The following is a 27549-nucleotide window of genomic DNA, read 5'->3' as shown; positions in this document are numbered from 1 at the left end:
TATGCAAATAACTATACTGCCATAAGTTGAGAATACTCAAATAGTTTCTATAAATTCTGCAGAAATCAGGTAGAGAAAAAGTAACATGCTCCAAATTTTGCTCACAGTAAATTTTGCACAAGTTTATCTTATTCAATTGCTAAAAGTGGTAAACAGCTAAAAAGAAAACATTTTCTTGATTCTGAATAACAAAGGGATTAGCAATGTTTAACACATCAGCTCTCCACGAGAGTCCCAAAAGTTTTTTTTTTTTTTTCCTATTCCAATGGCACAATTTCTAAACTTATCAGAGACCCGCATTCAAGAGTACCTGTCAGAGTCCTATAGCTGAATATAACAACTGCCTTCTGAAAAGGAGCAACACAAGACAATAATTGTCTATGGATGACACAAGTCTCAGGACAGCCATAAAGATGCAATCAACAAGGAATTCTGGTCGTCTCTGTGACACACAACAATTTAACATAACAATTATAATTATTAATGATAACATACACTGAAACATCAGAATTATAGGAATCTTACACAAGTTTGTAACACATACTAATAACATATTTATATGAATATAACCCAAAGAAAGTTAAACACCATTTTATATTTGACAATGCTTCCTGCATGGTTTTAATATATTGAATAAGCCAAATATATCTCTTTTGGACTTTAGGTGTCCTAATTTTTTTTTAAAACATAACCTAGAATTTGATCTTGGCAAGTTTGTCAAATATCAAAGGTTTAAAACATTAGATATTACAAAATAGAATCCCAGGTCACCATACCTAAGTCATTCATTTAGCCAAAATGATAACTCAAAAATTTTACGAAGGAAAAAATCTTTACTTTGATAGGAGCCTCAGCTTTCCAAACAACAGGACCCAATGAAGACAGCATGAAGCCAACTGAATCTCTTTCCTTTCCCCTCTTCCTTTTCCCTGCCATTTACTCAAAGGGGCAAACAAAAACCTTTTGTATCCCTTAATATTACACGAAAATCTTGTTTAAAAGAAAAAGCAAAATTTCACCTTTGCATTTGTGTACTATTAATGTTAAACCCAATTCTTAATAAAACCTTATAAACAAATCTATATAATCTTAATTCGTTTGACCATCAGGTAAAATTTTCAAAAACCTTTTAAAACCCTTTATAATTTTCTGTTAAACAGCTGATTAATTTCCTAAGAAAACCATTATTCAGACACATGGGCCCAGATTTGAGCCCTGTATCAGTGTGCTTTTATTTTAATGTTTAATTTACCAAAAACTGAAATAATCTCCTTCAAATCTTAGCCAACTTCCTCATACACACAGAACTTCCTTTACAAGATCAATCCTTCACAAACCCTTTATAGCTTGTTCTTTTTGGGGGTAGGGGGGAACGGAGTCTCGCTCTGTCACCCAGGCTGGAGTGCAGTGGCCGATCTCAGCTCACTGCAAGCTCCTCCTCCCGGGTTCACACCATTCTCCTGCCTCAGCCTCCCAAGTAGCTGGAACTACAGGCGCCCGCCACCACGCCCAGCTAATTTTTGTATTTTTAGTAGAGGCGAGGTTTCACCATGTTAGCCAGGATGGTCTCCATCTCCTGACCTTGTGATCCTCCCGCTTGTTTAAACTTGCAGTTTTGTCTTATCGCTCTTTTAGGTTAAGACGATCCTTAAAATCCCCTGAACTAGACAACATTACCTTCCCTTTAACAAAAACCGTATTTCCATACCTTCTTATAACATTTTACCAAAAATACATTCTATTTTCCTTGTATACCTTATAAGTAAAATTGTTTCTCCAGTATATTACAATGTTAATTCTCAGTAGCTTTAATTTGTGGTGTAATATCTGATAGGTAAGCAATTTTAACCATGTATTAGATTATAGAGCCCAGGACAAAGACAGAGCTGCAGACAATGTCTGACTCTTCCCAGCCTAGCTAGGGCACCTGGCTAATTCCACGTGTCCCCAGGCCTTATCTAGAATCCAATGGCTGTAAAACAGACAAGTCAAACAATTATTAAAAATCACAGAAGCAGTTTATGGGCTTAAAGCATCTAGCAAACAGTATCTGACCTGCCTAATTTAGACCAAATGTATAAATGTTGAAGACATTTTACTTTACCAATAATATTTTAAATTGCCTTTATTTTTCAAAGATTAGAGTCACGTGACCTAAATGCATTAATGTTTCTATTTTTCTGACAATTTTTTTTTAGCACTTTTTTTCTTTAAAAGTCAACTAATAGGAACATTAACATGTTTTATATAAACATCACACACACAACACATATAAATACACAGACAGAAGGGGATCCGGTAGTTATATGATTTTTTTATCTTTCAATTTTTAAGTTTCTTCATTGGATTACTGGCTTCAGGGTGGAGCCCTTATAGAAACAGAGCCAGGAGAGCATGTAGTTTCTAGGGCCTAATAAGCAGGCATAGCTGGAAGGCAAAAACAGATCCCCCAAATTAAGGGTCCCATTTTTATATGACATCTTGGATCCCCAAAAAGAGGGGAATGCAATGGGAGAAGAGAGTGCAATGCTTTTACCCTGCATTCCACTGCAAGGCAATCCAAAGCCAATCAGCCCATCCCCCAAGGGAGTCTCATCTCTCAGTGTGGGGTAGAAATATTTCCATACCTTCTAGGTGGCTGACAGCATGCTTCTCTAATCCAAAAGTGCAAAGAGCTGAGTATCCTTCCATAACTCCATTAGCCATCCCTTAAAGTATATTTCCTACCTAGTTATTACACACACAGGCTAAAAGCTCTTCTTCCTGCAAAGTAATTTCTGATACCTCCCAAAGTCAAAATACATCAGGTAACACGGAACAGAGCCTTAGATTTTGAGAGGGATCTAGCCTCCTTCAATTCCTGGGGTTCCATGAGGAAAACGTAGGTTTTTCTCAAAACAGGGTATGTGGCACCTCCTGTGTTTTTCCCAAGGAGTCCCGGGCTGTCAGAAATTACTTTAGGTCCTCTCATGTGGGCATCAAGAGTGGCAAGAAAACAGACTGGGGAAATAATTCAGCTGACTAAGAAGAAAAACAAAGAAAAATTTTTCTTAAACAAGATCCAAGAAGCGAAAAAGCACCAAGGCCTTTTATATATATATATATATATATATATATATATATATATATATATATATATAGCTTGAATATCAGTTTTTAATTAAGTTGATTTTAACCAGGAATGAGCAAAGACAGCCAGCCTGTGAAGCTAGAGACAAGATGGAGTCAGCCATGTCAGATTTCTCTCACTGTCATAATTTCTTCCGTTACAATATTTGCAAAGGCAGTTTCAGTAACACCCTTTTCCGGGTTAACTAACTTACTCACCAGGAGCCAAGCCAAAAAAGAAAAATCAAATGGAAAGTCTGCTACTCTCAATTATTTTATTATCTGCCAGAGAATGCTTTTGGCAGACTTTCTCCTTCCTCAAGGGAAAAAATACCTGCAAAATTTTAATAATAACAAGGACTGCATTTTGCTTGCCGTGAACGTCTATTTGAGTTCTGCAGGTAAGGGAATCAAAATGAAGCCCAAGGAGAACACAAGATGAAGGGCAAAGAAATCAGAATGCCATTAAAACTCCATTTCCCAAGAAAAACCAGTTGGAAGGAAAAAAAAATCCTACAACTAAAGGATATGAATCAGTGCTTCTTAACTGACATTGATTTTACCCACCAGGGGACATTTGACAAATGTCTTCCCACTCTCTCTCCATTGTAATAGAGAGTGGGCAAATGTTAGGGATGCTGCTGAACATCCTATAGTATTCAGGACAGTCCCCCCAAGATGAAGAACAATCCAGCCGCCATTGTCAATAGTGCCAAGGCCAAGAAACCCTGATCTCAATGAATGGGCTGAAAATGTTGAGTTAATGCATTATATGTTGTGGCCATTCACAACATCTTCAGAAGTTAAGACCCTCAAATCTGCCCACTTCTCTCAGGCTGAACACATAAATCTAACAGAATCCTCCACACTGAAGGTTCTAAGTGGATATTGTAAAAGCATTCTAAGACTCACTGGTAAATGAGCAGGGAAGAAGCCATGCACCGACTTTTTCCCCCAGTAAAAATGCAGCCCACCCAGAAACGACAGTCCCCAGTCTGCAAACATTCAAGCAATGTCCGTATGACAAATGCTGTTTGCTTCCAGCTGATTCTTCTGTTTCCAACGGCCCCACAGTGTCTGTGTGGCCATCCATTTCTCAGTTAATAGGGCTGCCACTCGAATCCATTACACAAGAGAGTACCCCCACCCAGCCCTAGGCCTGCAATATGGCTAATGACCTGCGAAATATAATAAAAATGTCTTGGCTGCCTTTGCATTATGGACCACCATCTATCACACACACAAAGCTTTGCAGACAATAGAAACATTGAATTACATTTTTGGTATAGTCTTTTTTACAATTAAATAATTCTGCAATTACTATGGACTCAGGGGAAACTGCAAAACTAGTGAAGTGCTGTGCACCTTTCATCCTGTCTCCTCCCATCTAGGCATCTTACACTACTGTCAAAGAGGATCAACACCACTAAGTAGGAGGCAGGACGGAAATGCTCACTGGAACACAAACTATCGTCATCCTTTCTGCACTGCATTCACTGGTTGTGTACGTATAATCTATGCAGTTTGATCCTACGTGTAGATCTGTGGAACTGTGTCTCTGGTCAAGGTACCAAACTCTTCATTCAACACAAAAGAACTCTCCTATAACCTTCCTTTGTACGCACGTGCTCCCATCCCTACTCCAGATCTGTAGCAGCCACTGATCTGGTGTCCACCTGTATATTTTCAGCACTTTAAGCAGGTCCTATAAATGGAATCATATAGTCTGCAATCTTCTTCCTTTTTTTTTTTTTTTTTTTTGAGACAGAATCTCGCTCTGTCGCCCAGGCTGGAGTGCAGCTGTGCAATTTCGGCTCACAGCAACCTCCACCTCCTGGGTTCCAGCGTTTCTCCTGCCTCAGCCTCCAGAGTAGCTGGGACTACTGGCATGTGCCACCACGCCTGGCTAATTTTTTTGTATTTTTAGTAGAGATGGGGTTTCACCATATTGGCCAGGCTGGTCTCAAACTCCTGATCTCAAGTGATCTGCCCACCTAGGCTTCCTAAAGTGCCGGGATTACAGGCATGAGCCACCGCACCTGGCCCAGTCTGCAATCTTCTGACGTGGCCTGTTCTACTCGGCACATTTCTCTGGGGGTTCCTCCAGCTTGCTGTGCCTACCCACAACTCCTTCCTTTTCACAGCTGAGTGGTGCTCCACGGCACAGGCATGCCACAGCTTGCTTCAACTACGCCCACTGATGGACACTGGCCATATGTCCAGAATATTGCTATTATAAATAAGCCACTGTTTTCTGTTTTTTAAATAACTGGATTTTGTCAGACACCAATGTAGCTTACAAATGATACTAGCTGTGCCAGGGATTTGCCCCAAACACTTATATGGGACTATGAAAAAGCCCTTATCATGTAATATTAGTAATATTAATATTACTGTGAATACAGGTGGTTCTCTCTTCCCTTTGAGACTAATTTTCTAAACTCTGAAAAACAATCTACACATGGAACTTCTCACCTATAATACCATGACCTCCCCCTAAAATCGTGGTAAAATATATATAACATAAAATATATCATGCTAACCATTTTTAAAAAAAATTTTTAAGAGACAGGGTCTCACTCTTTTGTCCAGGCTGGAATGCAATGGTGTGATCATAACTCACTGCAGCCTTCACCTCCCAGCCTCAAGTGATCCCCCCACCTCAGCCTTCTGAATAGCTGGGACTGCAGGTGTGAGCCCATGCCTGGCTAATTTTTGAAAATTTTTTTTGTTATTGAGACAGGGTCTTGCTACGTTGTCCAAGCTTGTCTTAAACTCCTGGCCTCCAGTGATCCTCCCACCTTGGCCTCCATCTTAACCATTTTTAAGTGCACAGTTCAGTGGCATTAGGTGCATTCACACTACTGTGCAACCATCACCATCAACCATCCCCAGAACGTTATTCATTTTGCAAAATGGAAACTGTACCCATTAAATAGCAACTCCACGTCCCCTGCTTCTCCCCATCCCCCAGCAACCACCCTTCCACTGCCTGTCTTTTTGGATTAGACTCCTCGAGGTATCCCTTCTAAGTGGAATCCTACAGTATTTGCCTTTTGTGGCTGGCTAATTTCACTTGGCATAGTGTCTTCAAGTGTCATCCGTGCTGGAGCCTGTGTCAGAATTTCCTTCCTTTTCAAAGCTGAGTCATGATATTCCACTGTATGGATGGACACGTTCTGTTGATGGAATTTCCTCTGTCAATGGACATCTGGGTTGCTTCCGCTGAGGTGTTCTAAAGGACACTGTACTGCTCCCCTAAAGTGTGAGGTCAGTCTTGGAAGGAGGGGGCATGTCTTTCTGTTCAGCTCTCTCAAGCCACTGTCCTCACAACAGCAGCTCACAGATGCAACAGGAGGAGATCAGCCCAGCACACAGCCTGGCCTCCACTCCGGCAAAAACTTGAGGATGATGAATCCCACTCGACTGACAGCACCCTGTTCAGAGGCCTAGGATATGAAGGGCATTGGAACACAGGGAAGCCTCAGGGAAGTGCTTCTTTCACGGACAGACTGAAGCTCCCAGGACCCCTCTTGAATCCAGACTGGTTGGCTTTGAACAGTGTTCTCTTCTACAGGGCATGAGCTACAACCCATCCCTCAGCATCAGGCCCCCACAAGACACCTGGTGCTTTTTCAGAGGGGATCTCACTTCACCCTCAGTCTTATGTTTCTGTAGAAAGTGTTGAAGAACAGGGAACCTTCCCCTCCGCTCCACCTCACTCTAACCGAGACCCACGCCAGCTTACCCGCTGTGAACTTGCTGGGTCATCTGCCAGGTACTCTTTTTGGACAGTATAACCTCGCTGCGTGTTGGTGGGCGCTCAGCACAGCCTTTTATCTCTGTGCTTGGGTTTGTTGTGGAAAGAGGAGGCCGCTGAGGTCTCACTCACTCTTCCATGCACTCCTCTGAGGCTAACTCACCTGAATGGCATCGCCACCAGAGAGAAGCACTGCAGGTGAAGTGTGTCACCCAGCAAGACTCTTTCTTTTTTTTTCAGACAGGGTCTCACTCTGTCACCCACTCTGGAGTGCAATAGCACAATTATGGCTCACTGCAGCCTTGACCTCCCAGGCTCAGGCAGTCCTCCCGCCTCAGCCTCCTGAGTAGTTGGGACTACAGGCATGAACCACCACACCCGGCTAATTTTTGTATTTATTGCCCAGGTTGGTCTTGAACTCCTGGGCTCAAAGCAATCCACCCACCTCAACCTCCCAAAGTGCTGGGATTATAGGCGTGGGCCTCCACACTGGGTAGAAATCTTTCTTATTAATGATTTTCTTGGCATGGAAGCTTCACGAAATGAATGACAAATGTCACTAAGTTATATTCACAACCCTGAAAGTCTGGGCATGTGGATGTACTACTTCACTATTATCTTACTCTGTTCGGGCTGCTCTACCAAAATACATAGAGTAGGTGGCTTATAAACAACATGTGTGTTTCACAGTTCTGGAGGCTGGGAGTCCACGATCAACATGTGGCAGATTGGGTGTCTGGTGAGAACCCGCTTCCCGATTCATAGATGGTGCCTTCTCACCGTGTTCCCACATGGTAGAAGGGGCAAAGGAGCTCTCCTCATGACTTCATCACCTCCTAAAGGCCCCACCCCCAAATACCATCCCCTTGGGGGTTAGGATTTCAACATAGGAATTCGGGGGAACAGAAACATTGGGACCATAGCAACTATCCTCCTTATGAGCAAGGATGACATATAACACAGAGCCATATATACGTTATGTAAATAAAAGAAGCATGCCTACTTCTACCCAGCTAGTCAGGTGTGCAGAAATGGGCTCTTTAGGAAAACAAGAGTGCCCAGAGTGTAGATGCTCACTTTTGATAACTAGTGATACTCTCACTCTGAATAACCCATGTTTGGTGACGTTAATGGAGGCAAGAAAAATGTATAATAAATTGGCCTCTCAGCTACGAATCAGGGCAAATCAGAACATAAGTTCCACTGAATAAGGAGATTTCAACCATCCTCTAGGGTCTTTAAATCTTTAGAGCTAAGCCAGAAGTTCCTCACTCTGGGAATTCAGCGTGTGTGAGAAGTGGATTTTTACCATTTATTATGGTGACAAGCTCCTTTTAGTAGCTACAGTGTTTAAAATTACTGCCGTCATGGACACGGAACTTGGTAACATCCCTGTGCCGGACACAACGTTAGTGAAATTCCATTTCTACTTGTGTTTCTTTTTCTTCAGTACTGTCGCCACCACCATCATCACATGGTTTTTATTAACTTGTCTGCCTGTTCCTGGTGGTGTGTGGACGTCAGTCACAAAGCTCCAGGTAGGGAAATACTTCGCTGGGTTTTCGATGACTTTGATACCATGGGTATGTGGGCAAATGCACAGAGAGCTTTCGTGGCCGCCACAGGGCCCAGCCTGCGGAATCCTGCTATCTGGAAGCCTGGCCTTTGCCTTGCCCAGATGCCTGGGCTTATCCACCGGAGGGCTGATGAGGCTGTATAGAGTTTTCTATTTTTAAGCAGAAGGTTAGACCAACGGCACTGCTTAAGGAGGGGAAGGTATGCAAACAAGGACGCTCTGTCATTCAGCCGACCTGGGCTACATTCATGTCGGCCCATGGAAACTGTGACCCTGACAGGTTCATGAAATTAGTCCAGAAGGCTAGCTGCAAATCCTCAAAGGAAGAATCACACTTCATGAGCGTCCTGCAGATATATACGCCAGAGCTAACGTCCCTTTACATACTTTCCAGTATGCCTTGTGCGACAGGCAGAGGAGTTCTGTGACTCAACTCACGTCTATAAAACCAGTCATGTTTACGACGTGTCCTGCCTCTGCCTTAGATGGAAAAGAATGCACTGGTTTCTGGTAAAGTGAAACCTACACTTGTCACACGACCCAGCAACCCCACTCCAAGATATTTACCCAAGAGAAATGAAAACCTGCGTTCATACAAATGACCTGTATGAAAATCTTTTTTGTAGCTTTATGTTGGAATCACCAAAACCTGGAAAGAACGCAAATGTCCCTCCACAAGAGGATGCATAAACAAATCGCAGAAACAGCATTCAAAATGGAACACCACTTAGCTATTCAAGAATGAATGGCTGGTGCACACAACAGCATGCATGAATCTCAAATGCATAAGGTTGAGTGAAAGACGTCACACTCTCAGGACCACACAATATGTGATGCCATCTCTATGCCATTCTTGCAAGGGCAAAACTCTAGGGACAGAGCAGTGGTGGTTGCCGGGGCAGGGTGGGGGTGGAAGAGGAGCTGAGTACAAAGGGATACAAGGCAATTTTGAGGGTGACAGAACTGTCCTGTGTGTTGACTATGCTCAAGCCAGCTCCGCGCATTCCTTCCTTCTTTCCTCTTCAGACAGTATCTTCTACTTCTTTAAAAAATATTTTTGGCCAGGTAACGCAGTGGCTCATGCCTGTAATGCCAGCACTTTATGAGGCCGGGGGGGAGGATCTCTTGAACCCAGGAGTTTGAGACCAGATTGGGCAACACAGTGAGACCCTGTCTCTACAAATAAAATAAAACAGAAAATAAGAAATTAGCTGGGCATAATTTCTTGTGGCACAAGCCTATAGTCCCAGCTGCTTGGGCGACTGAGGTGGGACGATCAATTGAGCTTGGGAGGTAGAGGCTGCAGTGAGCCGTGATCGTGCCACTGCACTCCAGCCTGGGCAACAGAGTGAGACCCTCAGCATGAGTGAGTCTCAAAAAACAAAATTTTTCATAGTACCTCCCTTTCCCCTGAATGTATCACCCGATTATCTTGCAGGCAGCTCTTTCTCAGTTAAATTCAGTTTGAATCTGTGGTTCTGTCCCCCTGTATTCCTCATACCGTTTTGCAAGTTCCTGTGAATTATTTAATTTATGCCAAAAATGTGGGTCTGGGAGAACATGTTTTCTTTATAGTTTGGATTTTGGGATGAAGTCCCAGAGGAAATAATATGTTTACAGGGACTCACTTGCCAAATTTTCTCTCTTTCCATACTAAGTGGAAAATGGACTTCCACTTCCCTGGCTGTATTCAGAAATATGCGGGGGCACACAACTCACGACTCCCCCAGCATTTGGGGGAGCTGCTCACTACAGCAGGTGCAGGCTGTGCACATTTCTAGGGGCTCGCTCCCTTGCTTCTCTCCTCCTGGGATGGTAACACGAGCTCACGGGAAAGGCACATGGCCACCATGTGATTCTTAAAAACTGCCCAGATAGCACAAGTGACCAGGCAATGGATCCCGTAAGACAGAGGCCAATGGACTCACACACTGTATTAGTCCATTATCATGCTGCTAATACAGACATACCTGAGACTGGGTAATTTACAAAGGAAAGAGGTTTAATGGACTCACAGTTCCACATGGCTGGGGAGGCCTCACAATCATGGCAGAAGGTGAATGAGGAACAAAGTCACATCTTACATGGCTGCAGGAAAGAGAAGGTGTGCAAGGGAACTCCCCTTTATACAACCATCAGGTCTCGTGAGACCTATTCACTTTTCACGAGAACAGCACGGGAAAACCTGCTCCCATGATTCATTTACTTCCCACTGGGTCCCTCCCCATGACATGTGGGAATTACGGGAGCTACAATTCAAGATGAGATATGGCCAAACCATATCACTCGTCAAAGCCAGACTGCTGAACTCATGCAAAAACCAACAAATCCATTTTGGCACTAGAGCTTGGTAATGCAAAAGTTCCCTACTACTTAACATTCTTGCTTTAACCAGTTTCCTCTTTCAGACTGCCATGAGTCTGCTGCTATGAGATGTCGCCTGTGGGTAACAGCTATTGAGTGCTTCTGATGGGCAAAGCCCTTGCTTTGGACAAGTAACAAGGGCAACAATGAAAATCCACTAATCCACACAGGTAGGGAAATATATGTGGTTTGCTAAAAGCCAGATGACCTGACTTCTGCCTGTTGTGGGCAGAGAACAAAACACATCTGTTTTTGAGGTTCTTTTCCGAGTTTGAAGAGATGTGTCTTGGATCCTTCTTCAACACCCTGCTTCCCGGCTGTCTGAGGCCATCAGTGCTCCACTGAAGATTCCTCCTTGCAGCCTAATACATCCTAACTGACACCATGGATACTGGCAGAGGGGAGGAAGAGAGGCACTGGTGAAGGAGATGAATGGATGGACAGGAGCGGCAACCTGGTCTGCTGGGTCCAGGGCAGAGAAGCAGGGCTCAGGCCACATGCTTGGTGACTCTGGAAAACTTGTCCGTCACTGTACCTGGAAGGTGGGGTTGAGTGTTCCAGCAGACCTTCCAGGGAAGCAGCTGTCCTGCCGCACTGCAGGGAAACACCTACTCCCTGCCTCACTGCCCACCCCCACCCGCTTCCTGCCACACACAGGTAAGGAGGGATGACCAGGGAAGGAGGAATGCCAGTTGCAGTAAGATCAGTGGATCTGGGAACCCAGAATTTACTGACAACTTCTAGTGGAGAAAGCCAGAGTGGAGGGAGCTGAGGAATGAATCATCTTCTGAGATGCAGAACCTGTTTTTAATGAGTTTGGTGGGGTGCAGGAGTAAGAGTACAGGTGCTTGAGGAGGAAGCATGATCAGGGAAATGTTTTCCTTTTTATTTAAGGTAGAAGGGAGACAGCGATAGGCTGAGAAGGTGTGCTTTCTTGATGGGGGCTCAATGACTATTGACCTAACCAAAACTTTAGGACTTGAGACGAACATAGAAAATAACCCCAGAATGAACATTTCAACATTAAGTATTTCTTTGCTCCCTTCTTCCTTTGAATACAACCTTGTAGGGTGCTCTAAAAAGTTCCACAATACACACAGTGAGCTGAAGAAGGTGTAATAGTCTCTCTCTTCAATATCAACTCTGCCTAAGAAGTGTTATTATACTTCAGTGACACTGATGAATCAGGAATGGAGCTCACAGATGTTACACAAAGTTGACATTTGCCAAGGTCTATGCATTGTTGTGCTCCAACTCTCCCTCTCAGCTGCCTGGTTACAGAAGCTTCATAAACAAACACTGAATAAGGAAGCCGACCTTTCTGGGGAGGGATGGGGGTTTCTGTGTTTATTTCAAGAAGCCAGCAAAGCTCATGCTCCGTGGCCCCCTGGGGACCAGCCAGCAGCATGGCTCTGTCTCCAGGTTACCGGAGCACGTGGTCCTTCACACCGGACAGTTCCAGCCTGGGACTTGTTTACACAAGAGCTGTGAGTCTCTTTGGCCTTCATCGTGTCCTTGTGCAGAGGTGTTGCTAAATGGAAAGAATCTCAAATTCCATGCCACAAGTCGACAGGGAAGCAGGGTTTGGTACATGGATTTCCATTTGCAGGCACCTCTGGAAAGCTATGGGCTCTGAGGCAGGAGATCACCTGTGCTCCTCTAAGAGCCGAGGTTGAGGTATTAGCAGAGCGGTTATCATTTCCCTGATTTCCAGAGTGAGGCAGTACATATTTTGTTTTGTATACCAACTTCCTATACTATGTTCTGGCAACAGCCAATCACAGGCATCTAATATATATGCAGAAAAGAATGTGTACTTTCCATGAATAACACTAGCTGGGAGCGCAAGGGACAGAGACCCAGGCTTGGATGGGGAAGGCACGCACTTACAATGTGCTACGTGCCTGACGTATTTGAGCACATTTGCCTGGGCAAGGAAACCCAGGCTCAAATGAACAGGCCTCACTCAGACTTGTTCGAGGATCAGAGCTCGAGCCATTCTGTGTGGCTCCAATGCGTACAGTCTACCCTACCAGGCCAGCTGTGAGAGAACTCAAGCCTAGAGGATCGTAGACTGGTTTTCCCTCCAATCGAATACATGCATCTCTGGGAGGACGGGGCCTAGGAACTGGGGTTTCCTTTTCAAATAATCAAGTTCCAGAATATATACAATCTGATATCAAGGGCACGAAGCTTAAAACCCAACTTAAAATCCCAAACCGACTGTTATGAGTTGAAGTGTGCCCCCTCCTCCACAAATTCACAGGTTGCAGTGTTCACCAACAGCGCACCTCAGAATGTGACACTATTTAGAAACAGGGTCACTGCAGATGTAATTATTGCTGTATTCAAAAACAATAGTTAAAATGAGATTGTCTTGGAGGAGGGTAAATTCCGAATCCAATCTGTCTTTACCGTGGGGAAATGTGGACAAATCTGAACACAGAGATGAGGGTGATGTGCCTACGAGCCAAGGAGTTCAAAGACTGCAGCAAGGCCCCAGGAGCCAGGCAGGGGCACAGGAGAGACTTCCCCTCAGAAGGAACCGACCCGCCTACACCTTCATCTTGGACTTCTGTCCTCAGGAACTAGGAGACAACATATTTCTTTTTAAGCCACCCCAGTTTGCGGTACGTCATTATAGCAGCCCTAGGAAACGAATCCACCTGCACCGTATGTCGCTTAGGAAAACGGCTGTGTGTAATAAACACGTGGAGATAACAAACAGCAAGTCCACCAGGGTCATCATCATCGAGGAAGGCGGGGAGGCAAACATGGGCGGGGTTTCCAATGCACCTGAGAGGTTTGTTTAAGTTGAACAGGTAGGTGGGTATCAGGACGTTTTTCACCAATATCATTTTGTAGGTCTTAAATTACATATCTTCTAAGTTAGAACCCAAGCCCTGGGCTCCGTGGCTTCTTCCCACTACTTCCCTGCTGGCGGAGGAGGGCAGCTGCTCAGCTCAAAGTCTGTCTTGTCAACAACGAACACATGTGATTGGCTGTTTACTTACTAACCATAAAGTAATGTCTCAGTGGTAATCAAAAATGTTGGAAGATGCTACGACGATTCCTAAGTTTTAGAAAATTGCCTAGCAGCCCATTTAGGGGGCGGGGAGTAGGGGAGGCTGGGGAGCTGAATAAATCTCTGGAGCAAAATCGAAGAGGTTCAAACACACACACCAGCTCATGCATGCCCTCGCCGAGGTGGAGGCCAAGAGCCCCGCACTGCTTCCGTCCTTTCCACATTCACCACAACCGCTCTTGATTCCTGCCTGATTCATCTGCACAGAAGTGTCAAGGGAAGAAAGAACACATTCCCTCTTTCCACCCGGGGATGGCACAGCTCCAGAACCTTCTCTTCTCCCCATCAGCACTAAGAACCTTCTTAGCTCTTCTTCTTCTTCTTCTACAGCCTGGTTTTGAATTAAGCGTTGATCCTTCTGCTTGTAAGATGCTGTAGATGAATTTCCTACCGACAGAAAACCAAGCCTCTTACCTGACTCCTGGAGATACCGATACACCAGAAAGTTCACCTCGTCACTGGTTATGCTCATCTTAGCCTCACCTCGCGGCGATGAGGTGTTGATGAAGTGGGAACCACCCTCTGTTCAAAAAGAGAAGAGAGTTTTGAAACACTGCTTGTATTTTTCTCTTTTTTTTTTTTGAGATGACTAAAGAAAATAATATCCATGCTATTATACACATGAAGGTAATTAATATCTGATTGTGTTATATTTTATAATTATGTGATTACATAAAAATTCCGTAATTATAGATAGAAAAATATGCCCAGGTGAAATGTTTTCCAAAAAAACAAGAGTTGGCCTATTTCCTAAGGCCGGGGAAGAATTGAGCAAAAACCACATGAATGAAGCCAGAAGCAGGGGCAACAGAGCACGACAACAAACAACTGACTTTGCGTTCAATAAAGCTCTGTGCATGCAGGGATCCGCAGCGCGCCCCATAAGCGGCAGGAATGGAATCCCAAAGTGCACTCAGGCAGACGTGGAGGGATTCAACACTGAGCACTTTTCTGGACACATGGAGAGGTGACCGAGTACACCCGCGGCCATGTCAACACCCCCAAAGAGTGACCACACGGTCCTGGCCACATGAGGAACCGCAGTACCTCTCCCTCGCAAACGTTGAAAGTGGTGCAAGACTGACTGCATGGCCCCTCTTCCTGCAGGGCGGTGGCAGCACGATGAAGAGGCGCCAGCGAGCTCGGTCATGCTACATGTCACCTCGATGTTTCTGCAAGGAGGCCAGGGCTCCTGGTGGAAAACCAGAACACAGAAGGCAGGGAGCACCTCTGTCATTTGTGTTTCACCACAGAATCCGCTGCATCCGTCTGGCTAAGACTTCTGGTGCCCAGAAGGCAGGCAGAAATCTGGGGAGGGAGGATGGGCAGGAAAACGTTCAGGGGCTTCTGTGTGAGACAGCCAAGACAGAGTCTGGTTTTCTTAGACACCACCCGGTTAGACACAAGAGCAAACCAGCCCAAAGGGAACAAGCAAGGAAAGAACTCTGTTGTCCATGAACAAACCAGAATTCATACATCAGTAAGAGCTGCTCACTCCAAACAGCTGGGCAGCCCCAGAAAGGCTGCAACTAACGTCAATGATGTCACCAACACTAAACATCTTTTTTCTTTTGAGACGGAGTCTCGCTCTGTTGCCAGGCCGGAGTGCAGTGGTGCGATCTCAGCTCACTGCATCCTCCGCCTCCTGGGTTCAAGGGATTCTCCTGCCTCAGCCTCCCGAGTAGCTGGGACTACAGGCGCCCGCCAATACGCCCGGCTAATTTTTGTATTTTTTGTAGAGACGGGGTTTCACCATGTTGGCCAGGATGGTCTCGATCTCCTGACCTCGTGACCCACCCGCCTCAGCCTCCCAAAGTGCTGGGATTACGGGCGTGAGCCACCACACCTGGCCTCTTTTTTTCTTTCTTTCTTTTTTTTTTTTTTTTGAGACAGAGTCTTGCAGTGTTGCCCAGGCTGGAGAGCAGTGGCATGATCTGGGCTTACTGCAACCTCCACCTCCCGGGCTCAAGCAATCCTCTCACCTCAGCCTCCCGGGTAGCTGTGACCAAAGGTGGGCATCAGCACGCCCAGCTAATTTTTTGGTTCTTTTTGTAGAGACAAGGTTTTACCCAGGCTGGTGTTCAGCTTCTGAACTCAAGCGATCCACCTGCCTCAGACTTCCAAAGTGGTGGGATTTCAGGCGTGAGCCGCCACGCCCGGCCAGCACTAAACATCTTTAGGCTGTTTGGGAACTGTCTTTGGTGTCTATATCACACATTTGCAAGTATCTTTACAGGCAGCAAAACTTTCATTGTTGAATGAGGATTGAGTTTTTGTTTGTTTAGGGGGAGAAAAGTACAAAGTATATGTTCAAGTTGGAAGATATTTTACATTTAATGGGAGGATTCAAAGTAATGGTTACTGCCAGGGACATACCTTACCCCCACAAAGTCCTGCCCTGGTATACTCCCGACCCTTGAGTATGGGCAAGATCTGTCACTTGCTTCCAGAATGCGTCAAGGAGATGGGGCACCACTCCCTAGGTTAGGTTACATTACATGGCAAGGTTGACCACATTTCTCTCCTGTGATTATTAACACCACATTGCATGATCTGTCCAGGCAATGGCAGGCAGCCTGCAGGGAGCTGAGGGTCTCAGTCCTGCAGCCACAGGAACTGAATTCTACCAACAACCTGTGCTTGGAAGAAAACCCCTGAGCTTAAAGGAGAGCGCAGCCTGGCTGACACCCGGACCAAGCCTTGTGGGACGCTGAGCACTGGCCCCAGCTGTGCTGTGCCTGGACCCGTGACCCGCAGCCACGGTGAGAGAATGAATGTGTGTTGTTTCAAGCTGCTAAACGTGTGGTCGTCTGTTATCCAGCAAGAGATAATGAATGCAGCTGCCCTGGCGACATTCCACCTCTCACTTTGCACTCTTAATAGACTTTATTTTATAGTTGCCAGAACACTGCCATTCAAAAATTCTTATCTTCTTTGCTTAATTTGATGACATTTCTGTACTTTTGCACATACTGCAATGAAAATTTGACAGTCAAAATACAAGTCTGTCCTAGGATTTGTGCTTGAACTCTGGAGAGGTCTCTCAAAAGACAGCATGCAGAAGAAAATATTAGAGACAAAATAAGCTATGAAATCATAGCATGACCTAATGAAAAATTAAATATTATTTAAGGAGACAAAATAAAACAACAAAAATCTATCTAAAGAATGTTGCAGCACTGGGCAGGCTTTTGGTGATGCTGAGTGCTGCAGTGACTATGGCAACACAGTGCCAATAGCAAATGTATAGAGTTTAGGTTTCTCTCTACATCTTGCACAGCTAGAAATCTCTGGTTTTCTATCATTAACTTCTGGTGACTGAACAATGGAAGGCTGGTTGCTACGAAGGGTTACTAGGAGGAGCAAAAAGAATGGACTGAAAAAATGGCTTGGGCCGGGCACAGTGGCACACACCTATCATCCCAGCAATTTGGGAGGCCGAGGCAGGCGGATCGCTTGAGCCCAGGAGTTTGAGACCTGCCTGGGCAACACAGCAAAACTCTGTCTCTACAAAAACAAAACAAAACAAACAAACGAAAAAACTAGCTGAGTGTGGTGGTGCACGCCTGTAGTCCCAGCTACTCAGGAGACTGAGGTGGGAGAATCATCTGAGCCTGGGAAGTCGAGGCTGCAGTGAGCCGCGATCACCACTGCACTCCAGCCTGGGCAACGGAAGTGAGACCCTTTCTCAAAAAAAAAAAAAAAAAAAAAAAAAAAAAAAAAAAGGCTGGCAGCTACAAATCCCAATATAAATGTATCACAAAATTATTACCAAAATTCTCTAGGCTATACATACATTTGTGAAAGACGGTAGATAAGGAATTTTGAAATTAATTTTGAAGAATCTATTATAAAAATAAAGGAAATAATTATAAAGAAGTTTGGCTAAAAGAGAAAATCACTGATCTGGAGCATGAGCTAAAGTTGAGCAATTACATTTTCACAATTGCAGCTTTTTATTTTATTTTCTTCTGTGAGCCAGTGAGTGTTTGAAAAATTGAAGTTTTACAATGTAAGACCTCTTAAAAAGGTAGGAAGAGCAGAGCGCTATAGCTTCAGCCTCACTTAGTCCCAAGGATTTCTGGACAGGCTTAGGAACAGGGCAACAGGGCTAGTGGGACCGGCATGAATCTGGAGTCCCGTGGAAAGGAAGAGAATTACAAAGGACGAGTCAGCCTGGGAGGCAGGGCACGGTGCCCCCTCCCAGTGAGGGCAGCTGGAAAGGACCAATCTTGGAGGGCATCTCATCTCTGCATGTTACAGATGAGGAAACTGAGGCACAGAGAGGAAACTATGTCTGGCAGGACCTGGCAAACACCCCAGCTTCCCAGCTGCCCTTCTTGTTTGCCATGCCTAGCTCCTTTCCTCTTTTACTCTGGGGGAAAAAAAAAAGCAAGCCTGTTCCAGGCACAGCACGATGTTCTGCAGCATCCTTGGACTCCCCCAACCTCCTTGCAGTGGTGACAACCAAAAATGCCTGCACACATTGCCAAATGTCCCACATTGCAAAACTGCAGCTGGCCGAGAACCATTGCTCTTTAGAGGGAAAATAAGCATTTTGTGTTTGAAATGAACTCCATTTATAAAGTAAGGCAACTGGTGCAGGCTCAGACGCTGCTTGGTGACCTGACCACTGAAAAGGTACCAGCTGGGCGCAATGGCTCATGCCTGTAATCCCAGCACTCTAAGAGGCTGAGATGGGAGGATTGCTTCAGCTTAGGAGTTAGAGGCCAGCCTTGGCAACATAGGGAGATGCCCTCTCTACAAAAAAATTTTAAAAATTAGCAAAGTATGGTAGCACATGCCTGTGGTCTTAGCTACTCAGGAGGCTAAGGCAAGAGGTTTGCTTGAGCCCAGGAGGCTGAGGCTGCAGTGAGCCATGATTATGCCACTGCACTCCAGTGAGTGGAGTGAGATCTTGGGTGACAGAGTGAGATCTTGCCTCAAAATAAGAGCAGATACTCTGATTCGTGGAGATGAAACACCTGTATACACAGCCTGGTTAATATTCCCCACCCCAGGAGCATCTGTGATAAATACAGGTGTCTCTGCATGTGTTTATATAGAACTATGGAGAATGAGAATATAAGATCCTGAGGAGATGGGGATTACGGGCCATTTTTAATTATCTGTTCCTCTAATTTGCATTATACATCTTTCTTTCTTCCAACTAGAAAAACTTCTGCTTCAGCTCTGGCTTTCTGCTTTCTGATCACAGATTCATTGTTTTTAAATGTATAAGTTAGGGTCCAAGGATTGGAATGCTTTCCCCAATACATTGTTAACTTTCTAAAGGGTTTTGATTTCTAAGCAGAAGAGAAAACAAAACAAAAACTATCCATGGCCTGCAATCGAGCCAGGATGTAATGTTTGGTAAGACTGACTGCTCCATCTCAAGTACATATTTTAATTTTTTAAGACTGATTTAATATTTGGATCAAACTTTTCTCCCCCAACAAACACTTACTTTGCTAGCTTTTAAATGATTATTTTTCTTTTAAAACCTAATTCCAAAAATTGTAGAATCTACATATATATTCTTAGATTATTAGATACAAGCATGAGAATATTCTCTGAATGGACTCCTAACCCTAACAGCTGTATTTAATGCCCTTCAGCTCTGTGGGCTTCATCACACCAAAATCAAGAGAAACCATCCATCAGCTGGGTGTCCCGGCGTTTAGCTGCGCTTATCTCTAAGTGGCTCACTTGAAGGTGGTGGTTGTTTTCATGGATCTTCTTCAGTTTTTTGACTCAAGTGAGTCTCCTGGCCAGTATTCCTCTGCAAGAACCACTGTTCCAGACAAACCTCACCACACACAAGGCTGGGAATAAAAATTCCTCCTCCTCCTCTTTTTTCTAAGACCAGAACTAAATTTCACAGGAAGATGGTAAATTATGGATCTCCCACCCAGGGCTTTGCTGTTTAATTTCCCACAAATAAATGTGCTGTTATTATAGTGGTATTCGTAGTGTAGCAGAACTCTCAAGCACAGAGAAGGTCACTGCAAACCTCATTTCTGGCTTGAGTGATGGCACACTGGTGTGCCGTTCCTGTCTGGGCGACATTTCCTAAGGCCAGTCCACAAGCACCTTCCTTCACAGAAGAGGAGGGGGATGTTTTGGAAGAAAAGTTAAATTCTTGACTGATGGAGACAAGACCCACGATTTTGGAAGAAGTCAGAGAAAGAGGAGAGAAGCACAGGAGCTCTGGGTGTACATGTGGGGAGGACCTGCTCTATGAAAATGATTTTTGACTTTTAATGATGTGTCACATGCACCCCTCAGCCCAGGGCATGAGGACTGCCCTCTACACCAAGGTTCAAAGCAAAGTGCCATCGACAGCTATGTATTCTGTGGGAAAAAGTCCGCCTTTGTCTTCTGTGCCAAGAACTATTTTTGTGGACAAATAACATGGAGTTTGGAATGTTCATGCTTTATTACAATTACTACTTTTTATTGCAACTATTACTTCTTATGACAGTTATGACTTTATTACAATAAAGTTAGGGTAAATCAGGGTGAGAGTCCCCATCCGTATAGGCTTATTGGCTAGAGATAAGGTAGCTCACGTCCTGAGAGCCACAGAGAACAGGTAAAGATGTGGGATTCAGGGAGCCTTTGGCCAAGCGCCAGAGACCCTGACTTCTAGGGGCAGCTGCACCACTATCTAGCCCTGGGATTGGAGGGTCAGTTATATGGCTGTTTCCTTATCTCTAAACTGAGTATCAAATAGCCCCTATGTAAAGGGGAGAGTGTGAGGAGTCAATGCTTTTATGCAGAGCCCGATGCACAGAAAATATCCAGTATGTGGGAGCTGGTATTTTAGCTCCTCCAGCAATTCCCCAAGAGAGACCTGAAAGGTCAGTAGGAGAGGATCAGGGAAACACACACCTGCCTCGCCCATGACCACTCAGGGCTCGACTCCTCGTCCTGGCTCATCAGCAATGTCAAGCAGGCAAGGTGGCACACATAAAGCCCAACCAAAAAGAACTACCACCAGAGGCCTGTGTTTGGGCATTCTTTTCTAGTATGTACAGCTGGAGACACAAGCCGCATTCTAACACCTAACCGGTTTCCCGAACAGCATCCGCTTCCAGCCTTCGAGTTCTGAGAACTCCTGTGGATGTTTTCCAATTTCTCCAGTTCTAAAATAAAGGAGAGTTTTGGCAGCACTCACAGCTCCTCCTTGGCCCCAAACAGGAGGGGGATGAGAGGGGAGTCTTAATTAGAGCAACTGTGTTTATTTTCTTGCCTGACCCAGCTTTGATTAAAGACACCTTCAATTAGGTTGATTTGAGGTGTTTGGAGTTGTGATTGCGCAAAAACGAAATAACCACCTTCCACTTTGGGTTAAAGCCACAACATTCTCTCACTGTGCTGCTTAAAGAAGGCAAAGAAGAACAAACGAGCATGGGCTGATGGCATTTTTGAAGTTTCTCTGCTAAAGATAAGTAATTCAATATAAGTGATAATTTGGGGTTTAGAGCCGTCAAGAAGCTGAAGGGGAGATTATTTATAGTATTTTTTTTTAAGCCTTGGTTTCAAGGTGGCCAAAAGTCCTATTAATTCGCAGTTCCCTTCACAAAACAGTTCAGCATTCGGTCCCAGGAGAAATGGCTGTTTAAGAGTTTCATTTCATTGAGTATGTAGTTAGAGCACTCAATATGCCATCATTCTGTGGGAGAACACTGGCCCCAAACAAAATCTTAATTGCTGTTTTAATTATCTTAAAAAGTAGAATCACATGGGGCCTGCTGGAGAGCTGGTGCTGGTAGTTAAGGACAGAAAGGGCAAGTTCGTTTCTTGCCAAGAGGCCAGCCGTGTTCTGAAACAGCGAAGGAAGCACGAGCTGATGAAGGGGGCGTGTATTGTAGGAAGGGCAGCGCACAGAGCTCCTCTGACATCACTGGAGGGGAAGCTTTATCTTTCAGCCATTTGCCCTGTTATGTAAACATCTTAAAGATCTTCTAAAGCAGCCCTTGGTTTCTGAAGGCACCTGAGAAAGTGAGTGTCATTAGTTAGGCTGCTATTAGTCAGGCTGTTGGCGTCTGTGCTGGAAGAATCCATTGCTTGGAGGGATGGCCTGGACAAGGCTCAGGTCTTTGGGGCTTGTCTCCATGCAGACTGGACCGAGCCAGGGTCACTGGAAGATCTGCTTGAACTGACCTCAGCCTCTAAAGGGCACCTCTTTCTCCAAGTTGCTTCATGGAAACGAGCAAACTCTGCCCATTTGGAGGCAGCGGCTCTTTTCTCTGCTCAGATGTAAACTGAGTTTATTTTCATTTCACAATCAGTAACCAGCTTAAGACAGAATTTTAAATGTATGTATAAAGTTTACATATAAATCCCAATACACCTTTTCTAACATCTGCCTGGGGAGCAGCTTATTTGGGGGCTGACACAGGCTTGTTTTACCACTTTGCACATCTTTTCATCCTATGTAATTGTAAAGAAGACAATGTGTGGTTCTCGAAACAATCTCATTGTCCAGTGACAGCACGATGAAATAAATTGCAGTGAACACATATGGGAACTATCAGGCCGCCATGAAGATGATTTTAGAAACCAATACACGGCATGGATTGTATGCTAGCTATCAGGTGTGAGTGCTATGTGCACGATACGATCGATCTCACCAGTCATAACTCCAAGAGATAAATATGACCATTACTCTTATTACCATTTTATAGGTTTAACAAATAAAGGCTTAGGGAAGATAACCAACTTAAATCCCAGCGAAGCTAGGATTTAAAGTTACGTTGTTTGACATTAAACGCTGTGGTCTTCCAGTGCAAGTTAAAAATTTCAAAGCTAGGTTAATGGAAAGATATTTATGATATGTCCCAAATTGGGTGGCAGGGGGCGACAACAAAACAGAAAAGAGGGCCAACAAGGTTACAGTTTGACCCAAACCTGTAGGAAAACACATACAGAGGAAAAGTTTGGGGAGAAATGCATAAAAATATTTTATGTTGCTTGCTTTCTTTCATACACTTCTCTCCATTTACCCACAATCAGATATACAATACTTTCAGTACGAAAATATTCCCCGCAAAGTAAAAAATTTCCCATTAGTTTTACGGTTATATTTATTTACTTGGAGTCAATGGTCTGAAATGGTAAATATAATCAAAGAATTATTTCTTCGTTACTAGAGTTCCAATGCCGAGCAGTGACGCCTCCATTTAAATATGGAATAAACTAGTGGCATAAGATGCGGCCAGGAAAACAGCATTTCAGGCAGGGGCAATGTCCATGACAGGGGACTGTGTGGGAAAAGCACGGCTCCCAATTGCATGTGTATCTTTCTACACGTTGTATAGTTTCTACTCTGAACATGGACTACTCATATTTATTAAAACGTAAAGAAAACCTGGGAATGTCGGCTGGGCGTGGTCGCTCACTTGAGTCCAGGAGTTTGAGACCAGCCTGGGCAACACAGTGAAACCCATCTCTACAAAAAATACAAAAATTAGCTAGGTGTGGAGGCATGCCCCTGTATTCCCAGCTATTTGGGAGTCTGAGGCACGACAATCGCTTGACCCTGGGAGGTGGAGGCTGCAGTGAGCCGACATCGTGCCACTGTACTCCAGCCTGGGTAACAGAGCAAGACCTTGTCTCAAAACAAACAAAAACGACCTGGCAATGTCTTCAGAGATAATCAGTATGAAAACAACTATATAGGAAATGAGGCTACAGGGTTGGGAGGGCAGAGCAGAGGAGAGGTTTTGTGTTAGAAAAGGAATGCCGCTTTTCACAGAATAAAATCATCCCTGACGGGACATGGTGGCTCACGCCTGTTAATCCCAGCACTTTGGGAGGCTGAGGCGGGCTGATTACTTGAGGCCAGGAGTTTGAGACCAGACTGGCCAACATAGCAAAACCCCATGTCTACTAAAAATACAAAAAAATTAACTGGGCGTTGTGGCGCACGCCTGTAATCCCAGCTACTCAGGAGGCTGAAGCAGGAGAATCACTTGAACCTGGGAAATGGAGGTTGCAGCGACCCAAGATTGTGCCACTGCACTGCAGCCAGGATGACAGAGCGAGCCTCCATCTAAAAAAAAAAAAAAAGAAAAGAAAAGAAAAAATCCCCATGATGAGGCATTCAGAAAAGGTCCTTTCTGTGCCCTGCCACCCTTCTGGGTTAATTAGTGGCTGGCTGGGGCTTTCATCCAAAGCCCACATGCACGTCAACGGCAGATGCTATGGTGACAGGAAGGAAGCCCTCTTGAAAATGCTCCACCTAGCAAGAGCAAGCCACTACCAGGGAAACCCACATCACATGAGCCGGACAATGCATGTAAGAAAAAGAGCACTGCCTCCCTTTCATCCTCTCCTCCTCTGGCCACAGTTCAACACAGATGCACGTGCCCAAGATTTCAGAGCAGACTGCCTTGGAAGGCACTGATGCTACTGCTTCCACGGAGCAGGAGCTCATCCTATTTTCCTGATGACCGTGGTCTTTAACCTAGCACTTCTGATATCCAGATCCATTATGACCTATTTTCCAGCCAGAAATTAATTTATGGATTTTAATTATCTTTTAGATAGACTGAACACAGTTTCTACACAATGTGCACCGGGCCTTCAAACAAATTTCAGGAATACATGCACTCTGGTCATGATATCTCTAAGACACTGATTTTTCACTGACATATGAAGAATTTAATTTGACCATGATGAGTCTCTTTCTGGCAGTAGATGGAGTCAGCAGTGGGTTCACCTACACATATGATGTGGCCTGTGAAGTTGTGAAAAATAAACTCTGAAGCGTACCCTACAGTTCGAAAGGCAGGCGGTGCCCCATCCCCCAATGTGGCCTGGATCTCATATAAATCTTAGTGTTATATCAGCATTTTGTTTTGTTTTAGTGACAGGGTCTCACTGTGTTGCCCAGGCTGGAGTGCAGTGGTGCAATCATAGCCTGCTGAAGGCTCAACCTCCCAGGCCCAAGTGATTCTCCTGCCTCAACCTCTTGAGCAGTTGGGACTACAGGTATGTGTTACCACCTCTGGCTAATTATTATGTTTTTACTTTTTTTGTAAAGATGGGGGTGTCACTATGTTGCCCAGGATGGTCTCAAACTTCCGGCCTCAAGTGATCCTCCTGCTTTGGCCTTCTAAAGTGCAGGGAGTACAAAGTGTGAGCCACCGTGCCTGGCCTATATCAATTTTGGAGGCTTATATTTAAATGAATGACAAAGACGTTTTTAAAAAAGGAAAAAACTAAAAGCATCATGAACCCAAATATTAGATCAGAGTCCAACCATCCTTACACTTATGTCAGCAAACACAGGTACTAAATTTTGTAATTTAATGCCCCATAGCCTATAATTCCACAGCCATATGACTGACAACAAGTACAAAATAAAGGGCTGACAGAAGCAGCGGTGAGCAGGACTCCTCAATCTCCTCACGTTTGACATTTAGGGGTTGGGGAGGATGTCCTGTGAACTGCGGGACATTTGACAGCATCCCGGGCCTCTACCCACTAGATGCCAGTAGCACCCACTCCCCCAGTGGTGACAACCAGACATGTCTCCACACATTCCCAGGTTATCTTGGGGGTGGAGACTCCCCCAGGGTGAGAACCCAAGTTAGGGCAGTTACACAGGCCCAGAGCCACTCCCTCTTATGTGGCAGAAAGGCCCTCAAATTCCTTACGTAAAAGTCCTGACCCCCAAATATCTGCAGTGCCTTCGCTACGTAATCACAATTTAGAGTCTGTCTTCATCACATCATGGCCCTTGGGTGGGCCTCTCGGAGCCTCACCTCCAGGTGGCCTCCAACTCAAAAGGCCACAATTAGAAAAGGTGGAAAGAAAACAGTTGTGTTCCTCTAGGTTAGGGTCAGCAAACTGCAACCCAGTATCAGTGTCTATAAATAGGGTTTTCTTGGCACTCAGCCATGTTCATACATTTCTGTAGGGCCTACACTGCTTTCACACTGCAATGGCAGAGTACAGCAGCTGCCGCACAGACCGCCTGGCCCGCGAAGCCTAAGCCCCTAACTATCGGGCCCATCACAGAACATGCTTGCTGAGCCTGCTCTCAGTCCTTCCTGCTCTACCACAGATTTTCCCACCTCTACATCCGAGAACGGACTGCCTAGTCCCTTCTCGGCTTGGAATCTTCCTGCCTGAGAACTTCAACAGTGAACGCCCCTGAATGTGAACATTCCTCATAACCATACCAACCCCTTTAAGACTGAGATACAAAAAACACTATCACCAGGGTCTGCGATGGATGCCTTTGAAAGGAGGACATGTGTTGAAACCACACACACCTCAAGGAAACCGTTAGAAGCCCTCACTTTCTGAGACGCAGCACGCAGCATAGGCAGAAAGAGTATGTTATGTAGGTTATTCCCAACCTTACTAATGAACTACAGCAATAGAGTACCATTTTTGAGGATAATGCCAAATGACTATCTGCATGTATAAACCATACAAGTTATCAAAGGCTACAAAAACACTCAGTCATGTATAAATGACTGAGGTATAAAGCCAAACACAGATACCTCACGCAGAGGAGAAATCCAATGTGTGCTGGATTCAATGAAATTGAAGCTTATGTTCCCAAAGTACTGAACTAATACCCACTCAAAACATTGATAAGAGAAAGATCCCCTCCCTGCTTCCCTCTGACATTTAAAATATGGTTCAATGGCATTTCGAAAAATATTGACTGGTGTAACAGCCACTTTGGAAAAATTCAGTTCCTCAAAATGTTCAACAGAGGTACCATATGACCCACTCCTAAGTAAATGCCACAGAGAAATGAAACATATGTCCACACAAAAAAACTTGTATATGTGTGTTCATGACATCATTTTTAATAATAACCAAAAGGGAAATACAACTCCAATTTCCATCAACTGATGCATGAATCAAATATGTTCTATCCATGGTCTAGCCACACAATGGAATATTCTGACATAAAAAGAAATGACACATGCCACAATGCACACGAACCTTGAAAACATTATACTGAGTGAAAAAGCCAGTCAGAAAATTCAAATTCACTAATACATTACAAATTTTGTTTTTATAAACAGACTACACCTTTCATTAAAATACTTATACATATTTAACTTGTTAAAACAACCTACATATGCATATGTCTGGCTTTAAACAAAAGTACCTCAAACAGTAAGCTGCTTATTTTAATTAAATTTAAGTCTATCATTTTAGTTCTAGTTGGTTCTCTTAAAATAGTAAATCAAAAAGCTTCCTCAAAATTCTATCTTTACACTTTAAAACTGCCCAAGTTCTACAGGTTTGTTTGTTTGTTTTTTTAACTAAAAAGGCATTAGAGAAAGAAACAGAAAATTAAATAACAATTAAGTAAAGTGAAATTAAAATCACACGTACCGAAAGGTAGTAAGATAACTTTTACAGAACTTTTGGGGCATGGGTCTCAGTTTTAGTTTGGGCTACGGGCTTCTCAACTCTTGACACCTGTGCACATACAATTGTTTGGTGTGCTAGTCAGGAAACCTTAGCATCTCACCAGATTTACACATAGTAATCTCCATGATTTTCTAATAAGTTTCAAAGTTAACTAGCAAATCAATTTGGAGACAGACACAAATCATATTAAGAAACTGATAAAGCATAGAATTAAGATATAGGAGCCAAATAAAATCTATA

At 44.3% G+C, this 27549-nt stretch overlaps 1 protein-coding gene across 4 annotated transcripts in view, besides 1 other annotated feature; it reads right to left on the bottom strand.

Annotated features, from left to right (window-relative positions):
• Nucleotides 1-27549, bottom strand: part of TBL1X (transducin beta like 1 X-linked) — a 256446-nt gene that overhangs the window by 51111 nt on the left and 177786 nt on the right. For 2 of the 4 annotated variants that reach the window (NM_001139466.1, NM_005647.4), the window contains exons 4-5: nt 14941-15085; nt 14308-14415 (exon numbers count right to left, since the gene is read on the bottom strand). In NM_001139466.1, the coding sequence (NP_001132938.1) occupies nt 14308-14415; nt 14941-15043 (211 nt within the window). In that variant the 5' untranslated portion in view covers nt 15044-15085. The remainder of the gene's footprint in view (nt 1-14307; nt 14416-14940; nt 15086-27549) is intronic. The other 2 variants (NM_001139468.1, NM_001139467.1) reach the window with 1 other exon arrangement.
• Nucleotides 5807-7006: an enhancer, noted in NCBI's record as "P300/CBP strongly-dependent group 1 enhancer chrX:9629664-9630863 (GRCh37/hg19 assembly coordinates)". NCBI's record gives its function as "activates an origin of replication core promoter dependent on BRD2, BRD4, P300/CBP, MED14 and CDK7 cofactors, with strong dependence on P300/CBP, by STARR-seq in HCT116 cells {active_cell/tissue: HCT116}" and the evidence as "EXISTENCE:reporter gene assay evidence [ECO:0000049][PMID:35650434]".

The sequence above is a fragment of the Homo sapiens genome, chromosome X (assembly GCF_000001405.40).
Source record: "Homo sapiens chromosome X, GRCh38.p14 Primary Assembly".
NCBI lineage: Eukaryota > Metazoa > Chordata > Mammalia > Primates > Hominidae > Homo > Homo sapiens.
The sequence above is the reverse complement of the archived record's forward strand: the minus strand, read 5'-3'. Positions and strand labels throughout refer to the sequence as shown.